The sequence below is a fragment of the Homo sapiens genome, chromosome 19 (assembly GCF_000001405.40).
Source record: "Homo sapiens chromosome 19, GRCh38.p14 Primary Assembly".
NCBI lineage: Eukaryota > Metazoa > Chordata > Mammalia > Primates > Hominidae > Homo > Homo sapiens.
Genome location: NC_000019.10, coordinates 47,598,817 through 47,622,369, shown reverse-complemented (window position 1 = coordinate 47,622,369; position 23,553 = coordinate 47,598,817). Strand labels below are relative to the sequence as shown.

The following is a 23,553-nucleotide window of genomic DNA, read 5'->3' as shown; positions in this document are numbered from 1 at the left end:
ATCCCAGCACTCTGGGAGGCCAAGGCGAGAGGATCACCTGAGGTCAGGAGTTCGAGACTAGCCTGGCCAACATGGCGGCGAAACCCCATCTCTACTAAAAAAGTATGGCCGGGAGTGGTGGCTCACACCTGTAATTCCAGCACTTTGGGAGGCCATGGCGGGCAGATCACAAGGTGAGGAGTTCGAGACCAGCCTGGCCAACATAGTGAAACCTGTCTCTACTAAAAATACAAAAATTAGCTGGGCATGGTGGTGCAGGCCTGTAGTCCCAGCTACTCGGGAGGCTGAGGCAGGAGAACTGCTTGAACCCGGGAGGTAGAGGTTGCAGTGGGCCAAAATCGCACCACTGCACTCCAGCTTAGGCAACAGAGTGAGACTTCATCTCAAAAAAAAAAAAATAAAGTACAAAAATTAGCTGGGGGTGGTGGTGCACGCCTGTAACACCAGCTACTTGAGAAGCCAAGGCAGGAGAATTGCTTGAACCTGGGAGGTGGAGGTTGCAGTGAGCCAAGATCGCACTATTGCACTCCAGCCTGGGCGACAGAGCAAGGCTCCATCTTGAAAATAAAAAGAAACTGAGTTAAAGAAGTCTCTCAATTCAGGCCGGGTGCAGTGGCTCACGCCTGTAATCCCAGCACTTTGGGAGGCGGACGCCAGTGATCAACTGAGGTCAGGAGTTCAAAACCAGCCTGACATGGTGAAACCCCCTCTCTACTAAAAATACAAAAATCAGCCGGGTGTGGTGGCATGTGCCCGTAATCCCAGCTACTCAGGAGGCTGAGGCAGGAGAATTGCTTGAACCTGGGAGGCGGAGGTTGCAGTGAGCCAAGATAGCACCATTGCACTCCAGCCTGGGCAACAAGAGCAAAATTCCATCTCGCATTTAAAAAAAAAAAAAAAAAAGACTAAAAAATTTTAAATACAAAAGCAGGACCATGGAAGGGGACATGCTTGAGAAGGTACAAAGCACTGGGAAGACATCAGGGGATTTTGTTCCTTTGGCTAACGAGACAGAAATTTAACAGAAAAAGACAACCCTGCACAAAACAGCCTTGAGACAGCGGGCAAACTGCAGGGTGGGACAGGACTTTTCCTGAGTTTTATCAACTCCAAGATGCGCATTTTTCACACTTTTGTCTCTGAAAAGGAAGCTGCATCTTACAACTGATGGCTGCTTAGCCCAGGAAATACCCTGTCTGGCTTCCACTCCCAGGTGAACTGCAGGAGAAACACCAGAACTCATGGAGCCTCGGTTTCCCCGCTGAGCAGTGGGGAGGTCAACAATCCTGACCTACCTCCCAGGTTCCCATTCATTCCCTCTTTGAACAGCACTTAGGGAGTGAGTACAGGACTCCAGGCTCACACAGAGGCACCAGGGAGGCAGCCAGGGTCAGGACAAGCAATGGCCGTAGACAGAGATCGAGTGGGGCTCCAAGACCCATGGCCGCCTTGACTGGATGACAGGCCTGCTGGGGAGCTCTGCTGCTGCCGGAAGAGGCCTAGGATTTAGGGCTGGGCTACCTGTGCAAAAGAACTACTCAGAGACAGCGCTTGATGAAAATGCTGTTTCCTGGACGCCACTCATCGGGATTCCCAGGAGTTTGGTCTGTGTGGAGCCCAGGGATGGTCATTTTTCACAAGCATCCCTGGTCATTTGGAAGCATGTGGGTTTTGTTCTTGTTTTTTTTTTTTTTTTTTTTTTGAGACAGTCTCACTCTGTCGCCCAAGCTAAAGTGCAGTGGTATGATCACAGCTAACTGGAGCCTCGACCTTCTGGGCTCAAGTGATCCTCCCACCTCTCAGCTTCCCAAGTTGCTGGGACTACAAGCATGCACCACCATGCTCGGCTACTTTTTGTATTTTTTTGTAGAGACGGGGTTTCACCATGTTGCCCAAGCTGGTCTCAAACTCCCGACCTCAGGTGATCCACCTGCCCTGACCTCCCAAAGTGCTGGGATTAGAGGTGTGAGCCACTGCGCCCTGGCCAGTGGGACACTTTTTGAGAAACACACAGGAACTCCAAAGACAGGGTCTCTGCTCCCCTTTCTCCATCCCTGGGACATGCCTGTCATCCACCCATCCATTCATTCAACAAGCATCTACAGAGCACCTACTGCACACCAGGAGCTGAGAACACAGGAAACACAGCCCTCCCTTCTCATCTTCTGCAGTTTGGAGCCTCATGAGAAAGCCAGGCTTGAAGAAATACTCACGGGAAAGAATTTCTTAAAGGAAGACACTCCCGATACACACACACCAACATCCCTGCATCTCAAAAGGATCATGCTGAGCCGAAGATGCTCAACCCAACGGACTCCACGGGGCAGGACTCCCCCTCTGTGAAATTCTAGAAGAGGCAAGGCTGACCCACAATGACAAGGCAAGCCAGTGACTGCTTCTGGGAGCAGGTACTGACCAGGAAGGGGCAAAGGGCAACTTTCTGGCAGTGACGAGAATGTGCTGTATCTTGATAGGGGTTAGGACTCATGGAAAGGCATGCTTAAACTATGTGCATTTTAATGAATGGCTCTCTGCAGCCTCAGCCTCCTGGACTCAAGCAATTCTCCTACCTCAGCCTCCAGATTAGATCCAGGCAGGGGCCACCACAACTGGCTAAGGTCTTTATTTGTTTTTTGGAGAGATAGGGTCTTATTATGTTGCCTAGGCTGGTCTCGGACTCCCGGCCTCAAGTGATCCTCCCACCTCGCCCTCCCAAAAAGTGCTGGGATTACAGGTGTGAGCCACCGTGCCTGGCCCCTCTGCGGATTTTACTGTATACGAATTACACTTCAATGAAAAAGGATTGGGAGAGGCTGGGACCAGTGGCTCACACCTGTAATCCCAGCACTTCGGGAAGCCAAAGCAGGCAGATCACCTGAGGTCAGGAGTTCGAGACCAGCCTGGCCAACATGGTGAAACCTCATCTCTACTAAAAATACAAAAACTAACCGGGCGTGGTGGCGGGCGCCTATAATCCCAGCTACTCGGAAGGCTGAGGCAGGGAGAATGTCTTGAACCCGGGAGGCGGAGGTTGCAACGAGCCGAGATAGTGCCACTGCACTCCGGCCTAGGGGACAGAGCGAAACAGCGAGACCCCATCTCAAACACACACACACAAAAAAAAGGAAAAAAAAAAGGGGTTGGGAAAAAAAATGTGTATATATATATGTATATATACATATATATATACACTGTCCACGAAAGAGTAAGTATACACACAAAAGTAGGAGATCACCGCGCACGTTCTAGGGAGAGAAATTCCGCAGTACAGCAAGAGCTTGCTAAGCTGTGAGCTCAGACTTCTCCCAGGGAGAACTCCCGCACCCAGGCCGGGCGCCAAGTGTCTGAGGTCAATGAGACACTATGCGTGCCAGGTGATGGAGGTTATAGTCCAGCTAACTGTCACAGCCACCCTGTGAGGCAGGCGCTGTGGACATCTGCCCGCCCAGCCTCACACGGTGGACGAGAGTTGGCATCCAGCCTCTGGAAAGGTGGCTCCGGGGAGCTTCACCTGCAGGTGTCCCTGGACACTGGGCCATCCTCTGCCTCCAGGCAGCAGAGGCCACCAGGCGCTCCCTCAAGGACCCCAAGGGTCTTTAGCAAGGGTCTCACAGCCTCAGACAGATATTCCCGCTCACTCCGTTCCCAAGGTTACCAGGCTGGGACACAGAGGACATAAGAGGCTGAGAGGGGCCACGCTGAAGTTGGCAGCCCCCTAAACAGGCAAGCACTTCAAAGGGAGAGTGCAGAGGGACAGGGTGGGCATGGCAAGGGAATGAAGGTAGCGGGGCCGGGCTGGGGGGTCAAGGGGCATCAACCCTTCCTCTGCAATCCTAGAAACAGCATTTTTGTCCCCAACCTCAAGAGTATACACAGAAGCAATAACAACACTAACAATAGTGACCGTTTACTCTGAGCCAGGCACTTGCAAAACATCTTTTCCACGCTAGACCTTATTTAACAATAAGGTCATCCAAATAAGTATTTATTATCTCTCCTGTACTTCCAGTTCTCTAACCTGGACTAAAGGAGGGAAATAGCTTGCCACCAAGTCACAGGGTTAGAAGGAGCAGAAACAGGACTTTAACCCACACAGCTGACCCAGTTGCCCATCACCTCCAGGGTCATCCTAGGGGTCCATCCCCTGCTGCCAGCCCCACTTCAACTCTTCCTTTATGAGGACGATTTCTGCACAGAGTAACAGAACCTGTACCCCACACTGCATGCACCCAGGTGTGACCCCCAAACCTGTGTAATCAGAAACAACCCACAGGGTTTGAGGCTTGGTGTGGCCAAGACAGGGAATTCACCACAGTCCCAAAAAGGGGATCACAGAAAAAGGACCACCTGATCAAAGCCCACTCCCTGCTGCCTCAGTTTCCCAACCTATGAAATGGGCCTAATGCCACTTTCTTCATAGAACAGGACAGACTCTGGAGGTGCTGAAACAAATTCTGGATCCCAGAAATAACACCACCATTAATAACAATAATAATACAATGGAAATGATATGATATCTGGAATTTGCTTTAAAATACCTTGGCAAAAAAGAAAAAATATATGTGCACAGTAGGTAATGGCCAAAAAAAAAAGATCAGATCAGCAGAAAATTTTTGCAGAAGCTGGTGATGGTTACACAGGGGTGGTTGTGCTATTTTCTCAACTCTCGGTGAGTGCTTTAAAATTTCCTTAACAAAAAGTTAAAAAGGCCAGGTGCATAGCTCATGCTTGTAATCCCAGCACTTTGGGGGGCCTAGGTGAGCAGATCACCTGAGTTCAGGAGTTCGAGACCAGCCTGGCCAACATGGTGAAACCCCTTCTCTACTAAAAATACAACAATTAGCCGTGTGTGGTGGCAGGCACCTGTAATTCCAGCTACTCGGGAGACTGAGGCACGAGAACTGCTGGAGCCTGGGAGGCGGAGGTTGCAGTGAGCCGATATGGCGCCACTACACTCCAGTCTGGGTGACACAGTGAGAGCCTGTCTCAAAAAAATAAAAAATATAAGTTAAAATAACAATAAATAAATCTGCCAAGCCGAGTCTAGATGGCAAAAAAAAAGAAAAAAGAAAACAAAATAATAATAAACAAAGACGGCCAGGTGCAGTTGCTCATGCCTATAATCCCAGGACTTTGGGAGGCCAAAGTCGGAGGACTGTTGAGCCCAGAAGTTGGAGACCAGCCTGAGCAATATAGCAAGACCTTGTCTCTATAAAATAAAATAAAATATTTAAAAATAATAGGCCTGGTATGGTGGCTCATGTTTGTAATCCCAGCACTTTGGGAAGCTGAGGCGGGTGGATTGCTTGAGTCCAGGAGTTCGAGACTAGCCTGGCCAACATGGCCAAACACCAGCTCTACAAAATATACAAAATTAGCTGGGTGTCGTGGCCCACATCTGTAGCCATAGCTACTCGGGAGGCTGAGACATAAGAATCACTTGAACCTGGGAGGCGGAGGTTGCAGTGAGCCAAGATCACACCACTGTACTCCAGCCTGGGCGCAGAGAGAGATTCTTGTCTCAAAAAAAAAAAATTAATAAAAATAAAAGATAATAAGAATCAAAGTGAAGCTTCACTGAGCATTCCTGAGAGCCAGGTCCTATCCTAAAAAGCTTCCCAAGTCTTCACTCATTGAAGCGTCACAACACCCAAAGCGGGGAAGCTCTGTTACAGAAGAGGAAATTGTGGCCCAGTGGGTATTTGGGCATTGTCTTCCTTTTTTTTTTTTTGAGACAGAGTCTTGCTCTGTCGCCCTGGCTGGAGTGCAATCGTGCGATCTCAGCTCACTGCAACCTCCGCCTCCCAGTTTCAAGCGATTCTCATGCCTCAGCCTCCTGAGTAGCTGGGATTACAAGCATGCGCCACCACGCCTGGCTAATTTTTTTGTATTTTTAGTAGAGACAGGGCTTCACCATGTTGGCCAGGCTGGTCTCGAACTCCTGACCTCAAGTGATCCGCCTGCCTTGGCCTCCCAAAGTGCTGGGATTACAGGCATGAGCCACCAATGCCAGCCCTGTGCCTTCCATTTAAAATGCCAACACTGATTGCCTAGGGTTTGGGGGAAAGGCCATAGCAACTTGGGTATCTAATCCTATGGGAGACTCTGCTACTTAATAATAATTATTCCAATCACAGCCACTCACATTTTTTGGGCGCTTGCTATACCCCAGGCACTGTGCTGAACACTAAGCATGCCTGAGGTGGGTTTCCTCTCATGCCCACTCTTCCAGTTGGGGAAACTGAGGCACGGTACAGGGAAGCCCTGTGTGCCTCATGCCGGAGCAGCCTGCTGCGTGCCCTCTGCTGCCATGCAGTTTAGAATGCCAACATTGTTCCTTGTGTGCCTTTCAGGAAGACAATGGGGACCTTTCAGAGCGGAGGAGTCAGCATGAGTCCCGCAGGAGAACAGTAATCATAGTGAAAACAACAGCAGCATCATTTGCTAGTTCCTGAAAGCGACTGCCTGCCCAGCTTGGCAGAACATTGCTTCGTTCAGCCTCACAGCAGACCCTACGAGGGAGGCATCATGGGCCCATTTTATAGACAAGGAAACTGAGGCCATGCAAAGGAATTGCTTGCCCAGGGTCACACTGCAATTAAGCAGAGAAGCCAGCATTCCATCCAACACCTGCCAATTAAGGGGGTCACAGTCCCCAGGAGAAATAAACTGCCTAAGAATGACAGGTGACACCGACACTGACTGACAAGGCTACCTTGGCACTTTATGGGTGTTTGGGGACCCTCACAAGAGCCTTACCAAGTAGGTACTGATATGAACCCACTTAATAGAGGGGAAAACCAAGGCCCCAAGCAAGTCCCCTGTCCACAGCCATTCAGCCAGCAAATAGCAGAACTGGGATTAGAACCAACAGGCAGGGCCCAGAGCCCACGCTCCTGACCTCCACACCAGGTGGCAAGCACATGACGCAGGCCATAAGCAGGAGGAAGAGGCAAGGAGGTCATCAGACACAAGGAGGTCACCTGAGGCAAAGACACGTGCAGCCTGGAGATGCTGCCTGGGCGACAGGTGGGATCACATTGAAGAGGAGAGAAAGAGAACAACTTTCTTCAAGGTGCAGCATGAGGGGCCGGGCACGGTGGCTCACGCCTGTAATCCCAGCACATTGGGAGGCCAAGGCGGGAGGAGTGCTTGAACAGGATTTCAAGACCAGCCTGGGCAACACAGTGAGACCTCGTCTTTACCAAAAATATTAAAACTCCCTGGGCGTGGTGGCGTGCACCTGTAGTCCCAGCTACTGGGGAGGCTGAGATGCGAGGCTCACTTGAGCCCAGGAAGGATAATGCTGCAGTGAAAAGTGATGGCGCCACTGCACTCCAGCCTGGGTGACACAGCAAGATTCTGTCTCAAAAAAATAAAAAAAGATGCAACGTGCAACATCAAAGGTGCTCCGTAAGAGCTACCAAAAGACAAATCACTGGCCCTTGATCTAGCAATCCCACTTCCAGGAGTCTATCCCACAGGCGTACTCATTTCCCTGTAACATGTGCGGACGTATGCCTTCCCATGCTTCACACAGAAACCTTTGGAAACACCTCCACGTCCATAACAGTAAAGGAGGATTCACCCACACAGAGGAATACCATGCAGCCAAGAAAAAGATAGAGGAAGACCTACATTGGTAGGGTCTCCCAGGGAGATGAAGCGTGGAAAAAAAGCAATGCATAGACCAGACTACCATCTGTGTAAGATGAATAGTTTTTTGTTTGTCTGTTTGTTTGTTTTAGACAGAGTCTCGCTGTGTCGCCCAGGCTGGAGTGGAGTGCAGTGCTACCGCAATCTCGGCTCACCGCAACCTCCGCCTCCTGCATTCAAGCAATTCCCCTGCCTCAGGCTCCTGAGTAGCTGGGATTACAGCCATGCACCACCATGCCCAGCTCATTTTTGTATTTTTAGGAGAGATGGGGTTTCACCATGTTGGCCAGGCTGGTCTTGAACTCCTGACCGCAGGTGATCTGCCCACTTCAGCCTCCCAAAGTGCTGGGATTACAGGCGTGAGCCACCATGCCCGGCCTGAATAGTTTTAAACACATAACATCCATATATAAAAGTACATGCACAGAACATCAGAATGGAGGTGCTGTCTCTGGGGAAGAGAGCTAGGGGACCAGGGATTCTGGAGAGGTTAGAGGGAGAGACACCATCTTTAGTGTTCTGAATTTGCCCCGTGTGTGTATCACTTAGAACAAAAGGAACAAAAGGCAGACAGAGAAAAAGATGATGTCTCAGACCACCCAGACAGAATGAATGAAACCCCACAGCGGCTAATCCAACCGTTCTCTCTCCTCCTCCTGGACTGTGTCCCAAGGTCTTAACTGATCCCCAGGGCCCTGTCACACAGTAGGCCCTCAGGAAGTTTAATTGGGAACAATTAAAGAAACAAAGGCCTTCTCTGCTTGTGCCAACACTCCTTTCCCCCTCCCCCCAATGAATACATACACTCATACACAAAACTAATTGTCACCAAACTAGAAATGCCTTAGAAAACTCTCCCTCTCCACTGGGGAAACTTGCGTGTCACTGAGACACAAAAGCTTCAGTCAACTGGGACAAAACTCTACTGGTGGTACTCCAGGCAGAGGAGAATGCGAGGGACGGAACCAGGAGACACTCCCTGGGGACCCCTCAACCAAACGCTCCCCATGCGTCTCTAGTGTGGCATAAGGTGCATCCTACCAGGGAGCTAGCTCAGACAAGACAGGGGACAAAAAACCAGAGGGATATGAAGGGGTGAGTAAGGAGGGGGCAATTCTTCTGCTGGGGGAGCAGGCAGCAGTTGTCATCGTGGACACGGCACGGGTGACTGCTCTTGTTTCTACTAAGTGAGGGTGCCTGGTCGGGGAAGAAAGCTCAAATATGACCAGGGCAAGATAACCATACTCCCCACCCCTCTCCCCTGCAGGGCGGGAGAAGGGAAATGGCAGCCCCTCTGCCTTCCAAGCCCAGGCGGCCTGGAAAGGAATGCCATGTTTTCCTGTTTCCAATTAACTTCCCCTACCAGCAGCCTTCTGCATTCTTGAGACCTGGAGTCAAGGCAGCCTGGCGGGTGGGGGTTGAGAGCTGGCGGGGGAACTGGGCTGCTGGCTAGACCTGGGCTACAAGGTGGCCCACGGGAACCTGGGGAGCCTTATACACCCCCAGGAACTCCCCCTTCATAGGCCTCTGGGTGCTGATCCCCTGGCCCTTCCACAGCCTGGGGCACACCCCACCTCCTGAAGGAAGGTTAGGGAAGGGCCACAGGCCTCTGAGAAGGAAGTCAGCCGGGAGACCCTCTAGGGCCTCACTCGGACTTCTCCCACCAGCCCCCCAAAAAGATCAGTTCCTACATTCAGCCAGCACTCAATCTTGAGAGATCTGGGTGTCCCCACAGCCCCTCTCCTCCTGCCCACCTCCCCCGAGAATTCTTATTACTTATGCCTGTCATCTCGCCAAGGGAAATAACTGCACTTAAAGGAGGGGACAGTGGCTGCGGGGATAAGGGGTCCCTTAAAGCTCCTGGGATCAGACCCCATGAAGCACCATCTCCCCAGTTCTGTTGACAAATACGGAACCCCCACCACTAGTCTCTGCCGTCTGGCTTGGAGTCCCAGCTCGGCCGTGGAACATGCTTCCCCTGGCCTCAGTTTCCCCATCTGTAAAATGGCAAGATCACCTGTATTACCTCCTACACTGGGTGAGCTGGGTCCAGCCCCTCTCCGTCAGCCCCCCAGCCCCTCTCCCTCAGCCCCCCAGCCCCTACAGCTAAGCATGTATTCCGCATGGGTAAAGTGCTGAAGGGGTAGGGGCCTAGTCCCCAAAGCGCTCAGAGGGTGCGTGTCACTGAAGGGGAATTGTTCGTTTGCAGGTGGCCTTCCCAGACCACAGGGAATTCTTCTGGGGCAAAGGTATTCTGCCACTCACCTTTACATTTTTTATTTTATTTATTTTTTTTTTTTGAGACAGGGTCTCACTCTTGCCCAGGCTTGAGAGCAGTGGCACAATCACGGCTCACCCCAGCTTCAAACTCCTAGGCTCAAGCAATCCTCCCACCTCAGCACCCCCAAGTAGCTAGGACCACAGGTGAGTGCCACCATGCCCAACTAATTTTTTCATTTTTTGTAGACACAGGGTCTCACCGTGTTGCCTAGGCTGGTCTTAAAATCCAGGGCTCAAGCAATCCTCCAGCCTCGGTCTCCCCAAGTGTTGGGGTTACAGGTGTGAGCCATGGCACCTGGCCTTAAATTTAAATGCCAGTCAGATTACCTGAGGTCAGGACCTCAAGACCAGCCTGGCCAATATGGTGAAATCCCGTCTTTACTAAATATACAAAATTTAGCCAGGTGTGGTGGTGGGTGCCTGTAATCCCAGCTACTCGGGACGCTGAGGCAGGACAATCGCTTGAACCTGGGAGGCAGAGGTTGCAGTGAACCAAGATCAGGCCATTGCACTCCAGCCTGGGCAACACAGCGAGACTCTGTCTCAAAAAAAAAAAAAAATTAAATGCCACCAGTTGACATTCCTCCCCTGTGCCCACACTGCGTACCCGGCCTGCTGAATGATAAATATGAATGACACGTTTGGATAATACTTTTACCCACCTCCAGGTCACTTAAAGGAACTATAATTACCCCCACTTGCAGATGAGAAAACAGGACCAGCAGTTAAATGACCTGCCTAAGGTTACAGAGTGGATCATGCCAAGGAGAACAGGCAAGAAAGTTCTCCGCTAGCTGCATCAAAGGGCCATGGTGTGGCAAAGCGACAGCGGGTCACAGGGCATAGGAACAACCAGACATCAACATTCCCAAACAGTTCAGCTTCTCTCTTCTCTACTTCAGGGCTGAGTAGCAGCAAATGGGGCCAAGTCCCCCGCTCAGGTAGAGAAGGGAGAAGATGACAGTGGGGCCAGCTCCCAGGTACCCCGAGCCCATCACTGGCCAGGCCTGGGGCTCCCCCTCCCCCACTCCTCACACACCTTCAGTTCTCAGTTCCTGCAGACAATTCTCCATTCCAGCCACAAGTGAAATGATCCTGCCCTCAGCCCAACTTCGAGGTGCATCTTACCCCTTCTCAAAACCAGCTCCCAGGGAAAAAAAAAATCTGGCCGCTTCTTCTAAATATTATCTACATTTCCGAACCAGGTCCACTGAAGTCAGGGGGACAAAATGCCAAAGGGTGGGACAGAAGAAGGGCTTAACAGTTTTGAGCCAAGCTGGAAAAACTCCAGGAGGTTACAAATTGGGGCTCTGTGTGACCCAGGGCTGTGTGACCCTGGGCAAGCTTCTTAACCTCTCTGAGCCTCCATGAACCTGTCTGGAAAACGGGAATGTCTGTCCCGTCTCTATTTCCTCCTTGGACTGTGGCCAGCGTGTAATGTACTTAGCAGCAGCGGAATAAAGCTCCCTAGTTTGATATTGTTATTAATATTTCCATCTTGAGCGGGGAGCTATGAGGGAAGGCAAGGGAGGTCAACATGTCCCAAAAGTCCTACCAGTGCATGGGAAGGGGGTGCTTCCTGAGTTGTCTTCCCATTTTCTCATGACCCAGGGCAGGTCAGAGTTGACAATACCCCCCACACCCACCCCAGGTGCTGGGAGAGGTTAAAAGCACAGAGAGCTTATCATGAATCTCAGGCCTTGATGCCTTGGATGTTTCTAGTTTCCCTTTCAAGTGCCCTCCGTAAAGAGGTGTAAGAGAAAGGCACCCCTAGATCTGTATTATACTATGGGGTGGGTAGGTAGGTGTGTGTGTGGGGGGGGGGTGACAAAAGGGGACGATGGTCAGGACATGGGCCTGGGCACAGACTGCAGCCCACCAGGATGGGGACACCAGAGAGCTAGGACCTGTCACCTGGGCCTCCCCGGGAGAGCTGACACCGCGGCCTCTGACCCCACCTCCCGGGAAGTTCAGCTGCTCAGAACCACAAAGCAAAACAAAGGGGCGCGGAGAGGAAGAAGCCGCAGTGCCTCCCAATCACCGCCGGCGCCCGAGCCCGAGCCTAGCTCTCCCGCGGCTCCTTGCCCGGTCCTCCCGGCTGGCCGCGCACCAAGGCCCAAGCAGCCCCTGGTCCCTCGTCTCCCCGCGGCCGCCCGTGACAGGAGTCGGGGAAGCAGACGAGGGGCAGCCAGGGATGGGAAAACCAGATGGCTCCATCCCTCCTCCCTCCTCCTCCATCCCTCCCTCCGGGTGCCCGCGGCCTGGCTGCCCTCCGCAGGGGCCCGGGGAGGCCGCAGGCCCAGCTCGTCCGGGCTCACCCCGGGGAAAGGGCTGCCTTTGTCTAAAGGTCACCACCCGAGCGCGGTGCCCCGGCCGGGCCTGGTGCCTCCCGTTCCCAGGCCGAGGGGTAGGAGATGGGGGGCCGCCCCGAACCTCGGGAAGTGACAGGAGGCGCTCACCCCCCCCACCCCCGTAACGGCCCCCTCCGGGATGAGCCTCAGCTGGGGGTGGGGGAGGGGGTCACCTCCCTCTATTGCCGGGGGCTGGGGGTCAAGTCAACTCCTTTCATTGTTTAGGGGCGGTGCGAAGGGGGGAGCCCCGGTGGCCTCCTTCCCCATCCATCCCTCCCCAGCTTTCCAGGGCCCCCCACTGTCCGCGACACCCACGGGAGGGATTTGGGGAGGGGGCGCAGGGGCCGAGCGAGGCGGGGAGATGCAGGCTCTCCGCCTCCGGCCGGGAGATCACCGCCCGCTGCCCGGTGGCCTTCGCCTTCCCCGAAAGGCGGGGAGCGGGGCGAGGGGAGGGGGCCGGGACGGGGAGGGGGTCTCCGCGCCCCTCCCCCCGTGGAACGTTAGGTCTCCTCTCTCCGCCGCTCCATTGTATCCCCGGCAGCCGGCGGGAGGGCCGGGGAGGCACTGGGCGCCGGGTCTGGGCAGGGAAGCCGGTTGGGGGGGGGTCCCCATAGGATCGGGGCGGCGGCGGTGGTGGAAGAGACGCGGGGCTGGGGGTGCCGGTGGCGGTGGGCGCCGAGCAGGAAAAAAAAAAAAAAAAAAAAAAGGAGGCAGCGGGCGCTGCGCCCCGGCTGGGGGGCTGAGTGTGAGAGTGTCGCGGGGGTGGGTTCGGCCCCGGCTCCGGCTCCCCCCACACACACCCTCGCCGCCAACCCCCACTCCCCCCTCGCTTTTGCGCCCTGTCACAGCCCCGACTCGCAGGTAGAGAGAGTTAAGAGATTTAAAGAGAAATTGCTACATTGTGAGAAACTCACCCTGATGTTTGAGCAGCCGTCGGCGCGGGGTCTCCGAGACGGCCCCGCACGGGCTGCAAAGGGAGGACCCAGAAGGGGCCGGCCGGCCGGGCCGGTCAGCGCACTGCCTGATCGCATGGCGGCCGCTCGGCAGCCGCTGCCGGGCCCCCGCCGCCGCCCCGCGCCCAGGCCCGCGCGCCCCGGGCCCGCGCCCGTTCCGGGGAGCGCCCCTCGGGTATGCAAAAAAAAAAAAAATTTTTTTTAATTAAATGCAAACGGAAAAAAAAAAAAAAAAACCTCTCAGGTTTTGTGTTCCGCCCCCCACCCCCTTCCTCCTCCTCCTCCTCCTCCTCTTCCCTCCGCCCTCGCCGGAGGAGGGGCTTCAGGAATCCCCGCCCCGCGTCCGGGCGGACCAGCCCCGGCCCCGCCAGGCCGAGCGGCGGGACCCGGAGCCAATGGGAGGCTGCGGACGTCCGGGGACTGGGCCCTCCGCGCCGGCGCCGCCCCCGCCCCCAGCCCCAGTCCCGGGGGTTCAGGGGCGCGCCTGCTCGAGCTCGGGTGTAGTTTGTCGACTGCCTCGAGCCCTGATCCGGATGCTGGGGCGCGGGGGAGCTGAAGGGATCCGCGCTCCCAGACCGCCGGTCCGGCTGGGGAGGGGGCGCCGTGCGTCCTGGGCGCGTCCCCTGAGGCGGAGGACGGTCGTCCGGCGGGAGGACGCGTCCAGGGGGAGCGCCGCAGGTCCGAAAAGATAGCGGGAGTCGAGGATGAAGGAAATGGAGGGGATGGAGGGGAGTTCCCCCCGGAGGTGGGACCGCGCCGGAGCCCAGAGTTGGAGCCTGACAGGGTGGAAGGCGGCGGGGACTTCGGGGTGACAGGCCGGGACCCCAGGCGTGGCTCGATCACTCACCCTAGCTGGTCTCCGTCGAGCCACGGCGGCGCCGGGGAGGCGGGTCGGGCCTGCCTCGGAGCCTGTCCCCGGCCGCTCTGGCCGCGCTGATGGGATTCCCAGAAGCCCCAGGACGCCGCGGTGGTGTCGGGTCCGTTTCCGCCCCACCAGGCCGTAAACGCCCTGCTGGCGGGACACGGATTCACGCGTTGCCCTTAGCGAGCGCTTGGTGAGCGCCCACTGTGTGCGCTGCGCAGTGCTGGGGGCCCAGTGGGGACACAGAGCCCCCGGACCTGCCCTCCCGATGCTTGCAGCCCAGGGAGATTTATACTTTGTTTTAGTCCCTTCTGCCTCCCCAGTGCCCTAGAAAAGCTCGTGCACACAGTAGGTGAATGCGGGTTGAATAAATGAGTAATCGAGACAGATTGTGATTTTGTTGTTGTTGTGTTATATTTTGTTTTGTTTTGAGACGGAGTTTCGCTCTTTCGCCCAGGCTGGAGTGCAGTGGCACGATCTAGGCTCACCGCAACCTCCGTCCCCTGGGTTCAAGCTATTCTCGGCCTCCCAAAGTGCCCGGCCTCTGTTTTTTTAAGCCTTAACATGTGTTCTAGTATCTTGGCGGTACTACCCATAATATTTACTTCAACGTATTTTTTTTTTTTATAATTTATCGGCCAGGCGCAGTGGCTCACACCTGTAATCCCAACACTTTGGGAGGCCGAGGAGGGTAGATCACCTGAGGTCAGGAGTTCGAGACCAGCCTGGCCAACATGGTGAAACCCCTTCTCTACTAATAATACAAAACTTAGCTGGGTGTGGTGGTGCACGCCTGTAATCCCAGCTGCTTGGGAGGCTGAGGCAGGAGAATCGCTTGAATCCGGAAGGCAGAGGTTGCAGTGAGCCGAGATCACACCATTGCACTCCAGCCTGGGCGACAAGAGGGAAACTCTGTCTCAAAAATAGTAATAATAATAATAATTTATCCAGCCTGGGCAACATAGCGAGACCCTGTCCAAACAAAAATTAGCCCAGCATGGTGGTGTGTGCTTGTACTCCCAGCTACTTGGGAGGCTGAGGCAGGAGGATCGCTTGAGTCCAGGAAGTCGAGGTTGTAGTTCCCCATAGTCATGCCACTGCACTCCAGTCTGGGAGACAGCAAGACCCTGTCTCAAAAAAAAAAAGAAGAAGAAGAAATTAATTTTGAGAGACCACAGAGGGTAAGGGCCCTGACTGAAACCAGTCAGCCCCTGGTTCATATCCTGCCTTTGCCACTTTCTTGCTGTGTGACAGTGGACAAATTACCTCACCTCTGTGTGTCCTCATCTTTAACATGCTGATAATAATAGGCCTCATTTCATAGGGTCATGAGGAAGAATGAGCTAGGGAGAGCTGCACCTGAGAGGAAGTGCCATATAAATGCTGGCCGTTATCATTAGTAAGTAAACAGGAAGTTATCAGTTCCACAAGTGAATACCTTATGCAATGTCCCAAACATAAAAGCATGATAGATCTATAACTTAGTACAGTGGTGTTCACCGCAATGCTATTTACAATAGCAAAGACATGGAATCAACTCAGGTGCCCACCAACAGTGGATTGGATAAAGAAAATGTGATAAATGTACACCATGGAATACTATGCAGTCATAAAAAAGAATGAAGCCTGGTGCGGTGGCTCACACCTGTAATTCCAGCACTTTGGGAGGCCGAGGCAGGTGGATCACTTGAGGTCAGGAGTTGGAGACCAGCCTGGCCAGCAAAGGGAAACCCCATCTCTACTGAAAATACAAAAATTATTTGGGTGTGGTGGCAGGCACCTGTAGTCCCAGCTACTCGGGAGGCTGAGGCAAGGGAATTACTTGAGCCTGGGAGGCGGAGGTTGCAGTGAGCCGAGATAGCGCCGTTGCACTCCAGGCTGGGCAACAGAGCAAGACTCTGTCTCAAAAATAAATAAATAAATAAATAATGAAATAATGTCCTTTGCAGCAACACAGATGCAGCTGGAGGTCATTATCCTAAGCAAACTGACACAGGAACAGATAACCAAATACCTCATCTTCTCACTTATAAGTGGGAGGTAAACATTGGGTATGCATGGACATGAAGATGGGACAGATAAACACTGGGGACTACCAGAGTGGGGAGGTAGGGATAGGAGACAAATGTTGAAAAACTAACTTTCGGGGGCGGGCATGGTGGCTCATGCCTGTAATCCCAGCCCTTTGGGAGGCCGAGGCAGGAGGAACACGAGATCAGGAGTTCAAGACCAGCCTCGCCAACATAGTGAAACCCTGTCTCTACTAAAAATACAAAACTTAGCCAGGCATGGTGGCATATGCCTGTAGTCCCAGCTACTTGGGAGGCTGAAGTGGGAGAATCGCTTGAACCCGGGACACAGAGGTTGCAGTGAGCCGAGACCATGCCATTGCACTCCAGCCTGGGCGACAGAGTGAGACTCTGTCTCAAAAAAAAAGACAAAACAAAACTAACTTTCAGGTACTATGCTCAGTACCTAGGTGACGGGCTCATTCGTACCCCAAACCTAGGCATCATGCAATAAAAGAAAAAAAAGCCTCCATGGCCCAGGTGTGTAGGGGCTCACACCCATAATCCCAGCACTTTGGGAGGCTAAGGCAGGCAGATCACTTGAGGTGAGGGGTTCCAGAGCATCTTGTTCAACGCAGCGAAAATACAAAAATTACAAAATCTAATGTATTAAAAATACAAAAATCAGCCCGGCATGGTGGCGTATGCTGAGGCACGAGAATTGCTTGAACACCAGAGGTCGAGGCTGCAGTGAGCCAAGATTGCGCCACTGCACTCCAGCCTGGGCAACAGAGCAAGAGTCTGTCTCAAAACAAACAAACAAACAGGCCGGGCACGGTGGCTCATGCCTGTAATCTCAGCATTTTGGGAGGCCGAGGCAGGTGGATCACCTGAAGTCAGGAGTTTGAGACCAGCCTGGCCAACATGGTGAAACCCCGTCTCTACTAAAAATACAAAAATTAGCCAGGCGTGGTGGCATGTGCCTGTGTTCCCAGCTACTCAGGAGGCTGAGGCAGGAGAATCACTTGAACCCGGGAGGTGGTGGTTGCAGTGAGCTCAGATTGCGCCACTGCACTCGCCTGGCAACAGCCCAAGACTCTGTCTCAAAAAAATAATAATAATAACACAAAAGAAATTAGCCAGGCATGGTGGCGCACACCTATAATCCCAGCTACTCTGGAGGCTGAGGCAGGAGAATTGCTTGAACCCGGCAGGCGGAGGTTGCAGTGAGCCAGGATCACGCCACTGCACTCCAGCCTCGGCGAGAGTGAGACTCCGTCTCAAACAAAAACAAAAACAAGTCCGGGCGCGGTGGCTCACGCCTGTAATCCCAGCACTTTGGGAGGCCGAGGCAGGTGGATCACCTGAAGTCAGGAGTTCGAGACCAGCCTGGCCAACATGGTGAAACCCCCCCATCTCTACAAAAATGCAAAAAGTAGCTGGGCGTGGTAGAAGACGCCTGTAATCCCAGCTACTGGGGAGGCTGAGGCAGGAGAATCGCTTGAACCTGGGAGGCGGAGGTTGCAGTGAGCTGAGATCACGCCATTGCACTCCAGCCTGGGCAACAAAAGTAAGACTCCATCTCAAAAACAAAACAAACAAGCAAACAAAAAAACAAAAACAAGCAGTGATCATCCACCACCCACTGGAGGTGTGTGGACCCTCTGAGAAGCAGCAGTATACACTTTTTTTACTTTATGTTTGTATAGTCTGAGTCTTCCTAACTCTGCACTTCCACAGCCACTGATGGAGCTACACTTTTAGAGTGTTAACTGGGTGGTGAACACAGTTTCTGATGAGAACTGCCCACAGGGGAGAGACCTTTAGTTACCCCCATCATACAGTGTAGAAAACTCAATTGGCTCCGAGAAGGGAAGTGTTTTGCCCAGTCACGCACCCACAAAGTGAGACGCAGCCCTCATCTGAAGCCGTCACTGTACACTGGGACCTGAAGTGTAGCACTTGTGTTTCTGTCATAGCTGCCAGCCCCGGGGGACTCAGAACTAGGGGACTCACTGGAGACTTCGTCAGAGTCTATTCATTCATATTTTTTTAGTATCTAGTGTGTCAAGGATCCTGTGGTGACCAACACCACCCGGGTTCCTGCCTCCCACACAACTCACAATCTATTTGCCTCCCACACAACTCACAATCTATTTGCCTCCCACACAACTCACAATCTATTAGGCAACACAGCCAACAAGCAAGTAAGCAAATAAGTCGCTTAATTAGCCTCGGTTTGCGAGCCTCAGTTTACCTCCCTTGGTCATGCCCTTTTTGGCAGTTCCCAGGTTCCTTTGGTACATTGTAGAATATCCACTGCCCCTAAAACAGTGCTTGGTGCTTAGTAAATGCTCAATAAAAGTTTGCTGAATAGATATTAACAACATCCACCCACCTCATACACACACCTGACCTCTTAGGGAGATGGTCTTGGGGCCATGCCACTTGGAATGGCTCTGGTAGGGTGCAGAGGACACCAACAAGAAGCCAGCCCTGGCCCCGTGCAGTGGCTCACGCCCGTAACCCTAGCACTTTGGGAGGCTGAGGTGGGCAGATTGCCAGAGCTCAGGAGTTCGAGACCAGCCTGGGCAACACGGCGAAACCCCATCTCTACAAAAATAGAAAAAATTAGCTGGGCGTGGTGGTGCGCACCTGTAGTACCAGCTACTTGGAAGGCTGAGGGAGGAGAATCGCTTGAACCCAAAAGAGGGAGGTTGCAGTGAGCTGAGATCGCGCCACTGCACTCTAGCCTGGGTGACAGAGGGAGATTCCGTCTCAAAAAAACAAAAAAACTCAGGCCGGGCACGGTGTCTCACGCCTGTAATCCCAACACTTTGGGACGCTGAGGCAGGTGGACCACCCGAAGTCGGGAGTTTGAGACCAGCCTGACCAACATGGAGAAACCCCGTCTCTACCAAAAATACAAAATTAGCTGGGCATCATGGCACATGCCCGTAATCCCAGCTACTCAGGAGGCTGAGGACAGAGAATTGTTTGAATCCGGAAGCCGGAGGTTGCAGTGAGCCAAGATCGCGCCATAGCACTCCAGCCTGGGCAACGAGAGCAAAACTCCGTCTCAAAAAAAGATAAAAAGAGGCCAGCCCCATGCCTAGCCATGGCTGATAGCCATTAGTCCCCACCCTGCCTGAGTGACCCTGGGACAAGTCACTGAACCTGTCTGGGTCTGACTGCTCAACTCAGTTACTTCTTTCTTTTTCTTTTTTCTTTTCTTTTCTTCTCTTTCTTTCTTTCTCTTTTTCCCTCCTTTTTCTTTCTCTCTTTCCTCCTTCCTTCCTTCCCTTCTCTCTCTATCCTCTCTTCTTTTTTTCTGAGATGGAGTTTCACTCTTGTTGCCCAGGCTGGAGTGCAATGGTGCGATCTCGGCTCACTGCAACCTCCGCCTCCCAGGTTCAAGCAATTCTCCTGCCTCAGCCTCCCAAGTAGCTGGGATTATAGGTATGCACCACCATGCCCAGCAAATGTTTATTTTTATTTTTTTCAGTACAGACGGAGTTTCACCATGTTGGTCAGGCTGGTTTTGAACTCCTGACCTCAAGTGATCCACCTGCCTTCAGCCTCCCAAAGTCCTGGGATTACAAGCGTGAGCCACCGTGCCCAGCCCTTTCTCTCTCTCTCTCTCTCTCGTTCTTTCTTTCTTTTTTTAGATGATGGAGTCTCGCTCTGTCGCCCAGGATGGAGTGCAGTGGCTCAATCTTGACTCACTGCAACCTCCATCTCCCAGGTTCAAGCAATTCTCCTGCCTCAGCCTCCCAAGTAGCTGGGACTACAGATGCGCGCATACCACCACGCCCAGCTAATTTTTTGTATTTTTAGTAGAGACGGGTTTTCACCATATTGGTCAGGCTGGTGTTGAACTCCTGACCTTGTCATCTGCCAGCCTTGGCCTCCCAAAGTTCTGGGATTACAGGCATGAGCCACCTCACCCTTCCTTCCTTTCTCTTTCTCTATCTTTCTTTCTCTTTCTTTCTTTCTTGACAGTCACGCAAGCTGGAGTGCAGTGGCGCAATCTCAGCTCACTGCAACGCGCGCCTCCAAGGGTTGAAGCGATTCCAAGCAGCTGGGATTACAGGCACCCGCCACCATGCCCAGCTAGTTTTTGTATTTTTAGTAGAGACAGGGTTTCATCATATTGGCCAGGCTGGTCTCGAACTCTTGGCCTCAAGTGATCCCCCCATCTTGGCCTCCCAAAGTGGTGGGATTACAGGCACCAACTCAGTTCTTAATGGGGGACTCATAACTTGCATATGATTCTCAAATGGAATTTTTTAAACGATCCCTTGGTACAGCATCTGGGTTTTAGCTACCAGGCAGTGGAACTAAGGGGGTGGATCAAAGGGCATTGATTCCCTGGCAATCCCTGCCCTGGGAGAGCAAACGTCTGTTTTTCCTGCTCTGTCCTGTCTGTCCCCTGACATCCTGGAAAGCCTGTCCAAGTTTCAGAGTTAATGAGTGAGTGTGGTCCACACTGTTCTAGAATCAGTGGGGAAGGTCAGAGGCAGCCAAAGGGATGACCAAAGACCAGTGTTGGGGATCAATATGGGCCCAGATCGAAAGAGACCTGCTGTCCTTCGGGAGTGACACGCCCCTTCTATTTGAGAATCAGGCGCAAGTTATGAGTCCTAGGTTAAGCACTGAGTTAGGCAGTCAGACCCAGACAGGTTCAGCGACTTGTCCCCAAGGCCAGCCAGGCAGGGTGGGGACTAAATCAGTACACCCAGGTGTTCTGTGGCTGAGTCACCAGATGAACCTAGGGCAAGTCACTTCTCCAGCTCCTCCATTTTCTCATCTCTTCAATGGGAGTGTATCGTCAGGCACCCAAATCTGCCCCTGTCCCCAAACATTTTATTATGACAATGTTCAGGCCAGGCGCGGTAGCTCACGTCTGTAATCCCAGCACTTTGGGAGGCCAAGGCGGGAGGATTACCTGAGGTCGGGAGTTCGAGACCAGCCTGACCAACATGGAGAAACCCCGTCTCTACTAGAAATACAAAAATTAGCAAGGCGTGGTGGCGCATGCCTGTAATCCCAGCTACTCGGGAGGCTGAGACAGGAGAATCGCTTGAACCCGGGAGGCGGAGGTTGTGGGTGAGCCGAGATCGCGCCATTGCACTCCAGCTTGGGCGACAAGAGCGAAACTCCGTCTCAAAAAGAAAGAAAGAAAGAAAGAAAAGCAAAGAAACGAAAAGAAAATTTCTCCAACCCAAGTTGTTTCTCGACCTGGGAGGCTGCTGGTGCCACATGGAGTTTTAGTTTTCTGTAGAGCGGCGCACAAGATACGTGCATTTTCCCGTATGCATGTAAGAACCAGGGGAAAGAAATGAAAGCCTTGCCCAATCCAAAAACACCCCTGCGTCCCCTCCAGGTTCTGTTAAATAGGGGCGAGGGGAACAAGTTCCCATTGGAGACGTTTCCGGGTCCGGATTTTAGCAGCTAGGCGGTGGAAATAAAGTGGGGGATGAGAGGGCATTGATGCCGGGGCGATCTCCGCCCTCTGACCGCTCCCTTCAAATGCGGCTGGGACCGCGGAGTGCGCCGCCCCAGCTCCTGGCCCTGCCCGCCCGCGCCGAGCGCCCGGAGCGCCCAGACTGCGAGCCGCCACGAAATCAGGCAACTGCGCGCCCAGCCCTGCCTCGGGTCCTCAGCGCGGCAAGTGCCGGGGGCGGAGCCCAGCCGCCTATTGGCCCAGGTCTGGGGGCGGAGCCACGACTCCATCACCGTCCCAACCCCAAACCCCATCGGGTTAAATGGGCCTCTCGCCGGTCGGGGGATTATTCGTCGGGAGGCGGGGCCTGGGTTTGTTTACACACTATCATTGGCCAGATTTGAATCGGGCCTACTGCGGGCGGGCCACGGGGCGGGGCTACAGCGGGCCACGGCCGCCGCCTGACAGCTTCTGGGAGGCAGGGCCAGTCCTGGACGCGCGGTCCCTGAGCACCGCGATCCCTGGAGCTGGGGTACCCTCGGCGGATGCGGAGAGTCGGGCGTTGGGGGGCGCAGGTTGGGGCTTCTGCCTGTCCGTTTTTTGACAAACACTAACCAAGGGGTGAGGTTGAGTAGCATTGTTTTTTTTGTTGTTGTTCTCGTAAAAATTTGTGGGAAAAAAAAAAAAAGACCAGAAACAACCTAGTTGTCCATCGATGGGGGACTCAGATAAGCAGTGGTGCGGCCCGCAATGGGATGCGGAGTCACCGTAAAACGAGGAAGGGATACTTGAACTGACACGGTATGAGCTATGTAGCCTGACAAGGTAGGAGAGGAGAAAAAAAAAGGTATAAAAATGTAAAAGGTGGAGATGAAAAAATACAAGCTTTTGCTTGTTAAATACACAGAATATCTTGAAAAGCAGAAGCGAACTGCGGCAGGGCGCGGTGGCTCACGCCTGTAATCCCAGGTCTTTGGGAGGCCGAGGCGGGCGGATCACATGAGGTCAGGAGTTCGAGACCAGACTGGCCAACATGGCAAAACCCCATTTCTACTAAAAATACAAAAAATTAGCCGGGCATGGTGGCGCGCGCCTGTAATCCCAGCTACTCGGGAGGCTGAGCAAGGAGAATCGCTTGATCCTGGGAGGCGGAGGTTGCGGTGAGCCGCTACTGCACTCCAGCCTGGGTGACAGAGCGAGACTTTGTCTAGGGAAAAAAAAAAAAAAAGCAAACTGGTCACAGCAGTTTTCCGTGGGGAAACAGGGGTGGGTGGATGTTAGGTCTTTTTCTACCTTTGTAAAGTTTGAGCCTAGTGTCACCTATTCAAAAAAATACACACAAAATATTCAAATACGTGCACACACAAAAAAATCAAATACACAAAAACATTCAAAGAAATACACACAAAAAATCCAATAAATACACAAATTCTGAGAATTTCCCGTTTTCATCCACATGTCCCTTTGCTCCTGCTCTTGCCCTAGAGCTCCTGCCCTAGAGGCTGTGGACCTCCCACCTGCAGCCCCCGCAGCCCCTGCACCCCGCAGCGTTTGGGGGATAGAGAACACGCTAAGAATGTGTCTTCATTTATCGGGTATTGTTACTCATGCACCACCAAATAAAATATTCTGACTCAAGAGTGGCTTTATTTATTTGTTGCTTTAAGCCTTGTAGTCATCACTGAGATATTTAACATTCCAACTATGTGGGAGGGGCCGCTTCCTTGGCTATGCTTGGGGGAGGGTGACAGGAGAAACGCACCAGGCCATCTTAGGAAAGAGAAGAGAAAGTCGAAACTAGGAAAGGCCCCTTTAAGAAGGGAAGCGGTCTCTGCTGGTCAACACCACTGACAGAGGAAGAGCTGGCTGGGTTTTGATTTTTATTATTACTCTGTTCCCGAAGATCTGGAGGAGAGAATGAGTAGACCGCTTGCAGCAATGAGACTAAGTCGAGATTTGGAGTCTGTTAACAGATCTCGGCTGAGTGCGGTGGCTC

General features: G+C 53.1%; 1 protein-coding gene and 1 long non-coding RNA gene across 3 annotated transcripts in view, besides 15 other annotated features; one reads left to right on the top strand and one right to left on the bottom strand.

Annotated features, from left to right (window-relative positions):
- BICRA (BRD4 interacting chromatin remodeling complex associated protein) overlaps positions 1-14,174 on the bottom strand; it is a 95,082-nt gene extending 80,908 nt beyond the window's left edge. The window contains exon 1 of one of the 2 annotated variants that reach the window (NM_015711.3): positions 14,088-14,174. The gene's annotated coding sequence lies outside the window, so the exon portion shown is untranslated. Of the gene's footprint in view, positions 1-13,201; positions 13,237-14,087 lie in introns of those variants that run through there. The other variant, NM_001394372.1, reaches the window with a different exon arrangement.
- Positions 1,238-1,798: an enhancer, noted in NCBI's record as "H3K27ac-H3K4me1 hESC enhancer chr19:48123829-48124389 (GRCh37/hg19 assembly coordinates)". NCBI's record gives its function as "activates a minimal SCP1, AML or CMV promoter by ChIP-STARR-seq in primed H9 embryonic stem cells {active_cell/tissue: H9 hESC(primed)}" and the evidence as "EXISTENCE:reporter gene assay evidence [ECO:0000049][PMID:30033119]".
- Positions 6,444-7,273: an enhancer, noted in NCBI's record as "H3K27ac-H3K4me1 hESC enhancer chr19:48118354-48119183 (GRCh37/hg19 assembly coordinates)". NCBI's record gives its function as "activates a minimal SCP1, AML or CMV promoter by ChIP-STARR-seq in naive H9 embryonic stem cells {active_cell/tissue: H9 hESC(naive)}" and the evidence as "EXISTENCE:reporter gene assay evidence [ECO:0000049][PMID:30033119]".
- Positions 8,936-9,767: an enhancer, noted in NCBI's record as "H3K27ac-H3K4me1 hESC enhancer chr19:48115860-48116691 (GRCh37/hg19 assembly coordinates)". NCBI's record gives its function as "activates a minimal SCP1, AML or CMV promoter by ChIP-STARR-seq in primed H9 embryonic stem cells {active_cell/tissue: H9 hESC(primed)}" and the evidence as "EXISTENCE:reporter gene assay evidence [ECO:0000049][PMID:30033119]".
- Positions 11,956-12,215: a silencer, noted in NCBI's record as "silent region_10866". NCBI's record gives its function as "represses an Ori minimal core promoter by ATAC-STARR-seq in GM12878 lymphoblastoid cells {active_cell/tissue: GM12878}" and the evidence as "EXISTENCE:reporter gene assay evidence [ECO:0000049][PMID:35858748]".
- Positions 12,346-12,395: a silencer, noted in NCBI's record as "silent region_10865". NCBI's record gives its function as "represses an Ori minimal core promoter by ATAC-STARR-seq in GM12878 lymphoblastoid cells {active_cell/tissue: GM12878}" and the evidence as "EXISTENCE:reporter gene assay evidence [ECO:0000049][PMID:35858748]".
- Positions 13,052-13,121: a silencer, noted in NCBI's record as "silent region_10864". NCBI's record gives its function as "represses an Ori minimal core promoter by ATAC-STARR-seq in GM12878 lymphoblastoid cells {active_cell/tissue: GM12878}" and the evidence as "EXISTENCE:reporter gene assay evidence [ECO:0000049][PMID:35858748]".
- Positions 13,192-13,241: a silencer, noted in NCBI's record as "silent region_10863". NCBI's record gives its function as "represses an Ori minimal core promoter by ATAC-STARR-seq in GM12878 lymphoblastoid cells {active_cell/tissue: GM12878}" and the evidence as "EXISTENCE:reporter gene assay evidence [ECO:0000049][PMID:35858748]".
- Positions 13,302-13,351: a silencer, noted in NCBI's record as "silent region_10862". NCBI's record gives its function as "represses an Ori minimal core promoter by ATAC-STARR-seq in GM12878 lymphoblastoid cells {active_cell/tissue: GM12878}" and the evidence as "EXISTENCE:reporter gene assay evidence [ECO:0000049][PMID:35858748]".
- Positions 13,462-13,841: a silencer, noted in NCBI's record as "silent region_10861". NCBI's record gives its function as "represses an Ori minimal core promoter by ATAC-STARR-seq in GM12878 lymphoblastoid cells {active_cell/tissue: GM12878}" and the evidence as "EXISTENCE:reporter gene assay evidence [ECO:0000049][PMID:35858748]".
- On the top strand, positions 13,741-14,497 carry BICRA-AS2 (BICRA antisense RNA 2). Its single transcript, NR_186352.1, has one exon. It is a non-coding gene; the product is annotated as a BICRA antisense RNA 2 (long non-coding RNA).
- Positions 13,902-13,981: a silencer, noted in NCBI's record as "silent region_10860". NCBI's record gives its function as "represses an Ori minimal core promoter by ATAC-STARR-seq in GM12878 lymphoblastoid cells {active_cell/tissue: GM12878}" and the evidence as "EXISTENCE:reporter gene assay evidence [ECO:0000049][PMID:35858748]".
- Positions 14,032-14,081: a silencer, noted in NCBI's record as "silent region_10859". NCBI's record gives its function as "represses an Ori minimal core promoter by ATAC-STARR-seq in GM12878 lymphoblastoid cells {active_cell/tissue: GM12878}" and the evidence as "EXISTENCE:reporter gene assay evidence [ECO:0000049][PMID:35858748]".
- Positions 14,152-14,231: a silencer, noted in NCBI's record as "silent region_10858". NCBI's record gives its function as "represses an Ori minimal core promoter by ATAC-STARR-seq in GM12878 lymphoblastoid cells {active_cell/tissue: GM12878}" and the evidence as "EXISTENCE:reporter gene assay evidence [ECO:0000049][PMID:35858748]".
- Positions 18,061-18,130: an enhancer, noted in NCBI's record as "active region_14869". NCBI's record gives its function as "activates an Ori minimal core promoter by ATAC-STARR-seq in GM12878 lymphoblastoid cells {active_cell/tissue: GM12878}" and the evidence as "EXISTENCE:reporter gene assay evidence [ECO:0000049][PMID:35858748]".
- Positions 21,594-21,643: a silencer, noted in NCBI's record as "silent region_10857". NCBI's record gives its function as "represses an Ori minimal core promoter by ATAC-STARR-seq in GM12878 lymphoblastoid cells {active_cell/tissue: GM12878}" and the evidence as "EXISTENCE:reporter gene assay evidence [ECO:0000049][PMID:35858748]".
- Positions 21,794-21,983: a silencer, noted in NCBI's record as "silent region_10856". NCBI's record gives its function as "represses an Ori minimal core promoter by ATAC-STARR-seq in GM12878 lymphoblastoid cells {active_cell/tissue: GM12878}" and the evidence as "EXISTENCE:reporter gene assay evidence [ECO:0000049][PMID:35858748]".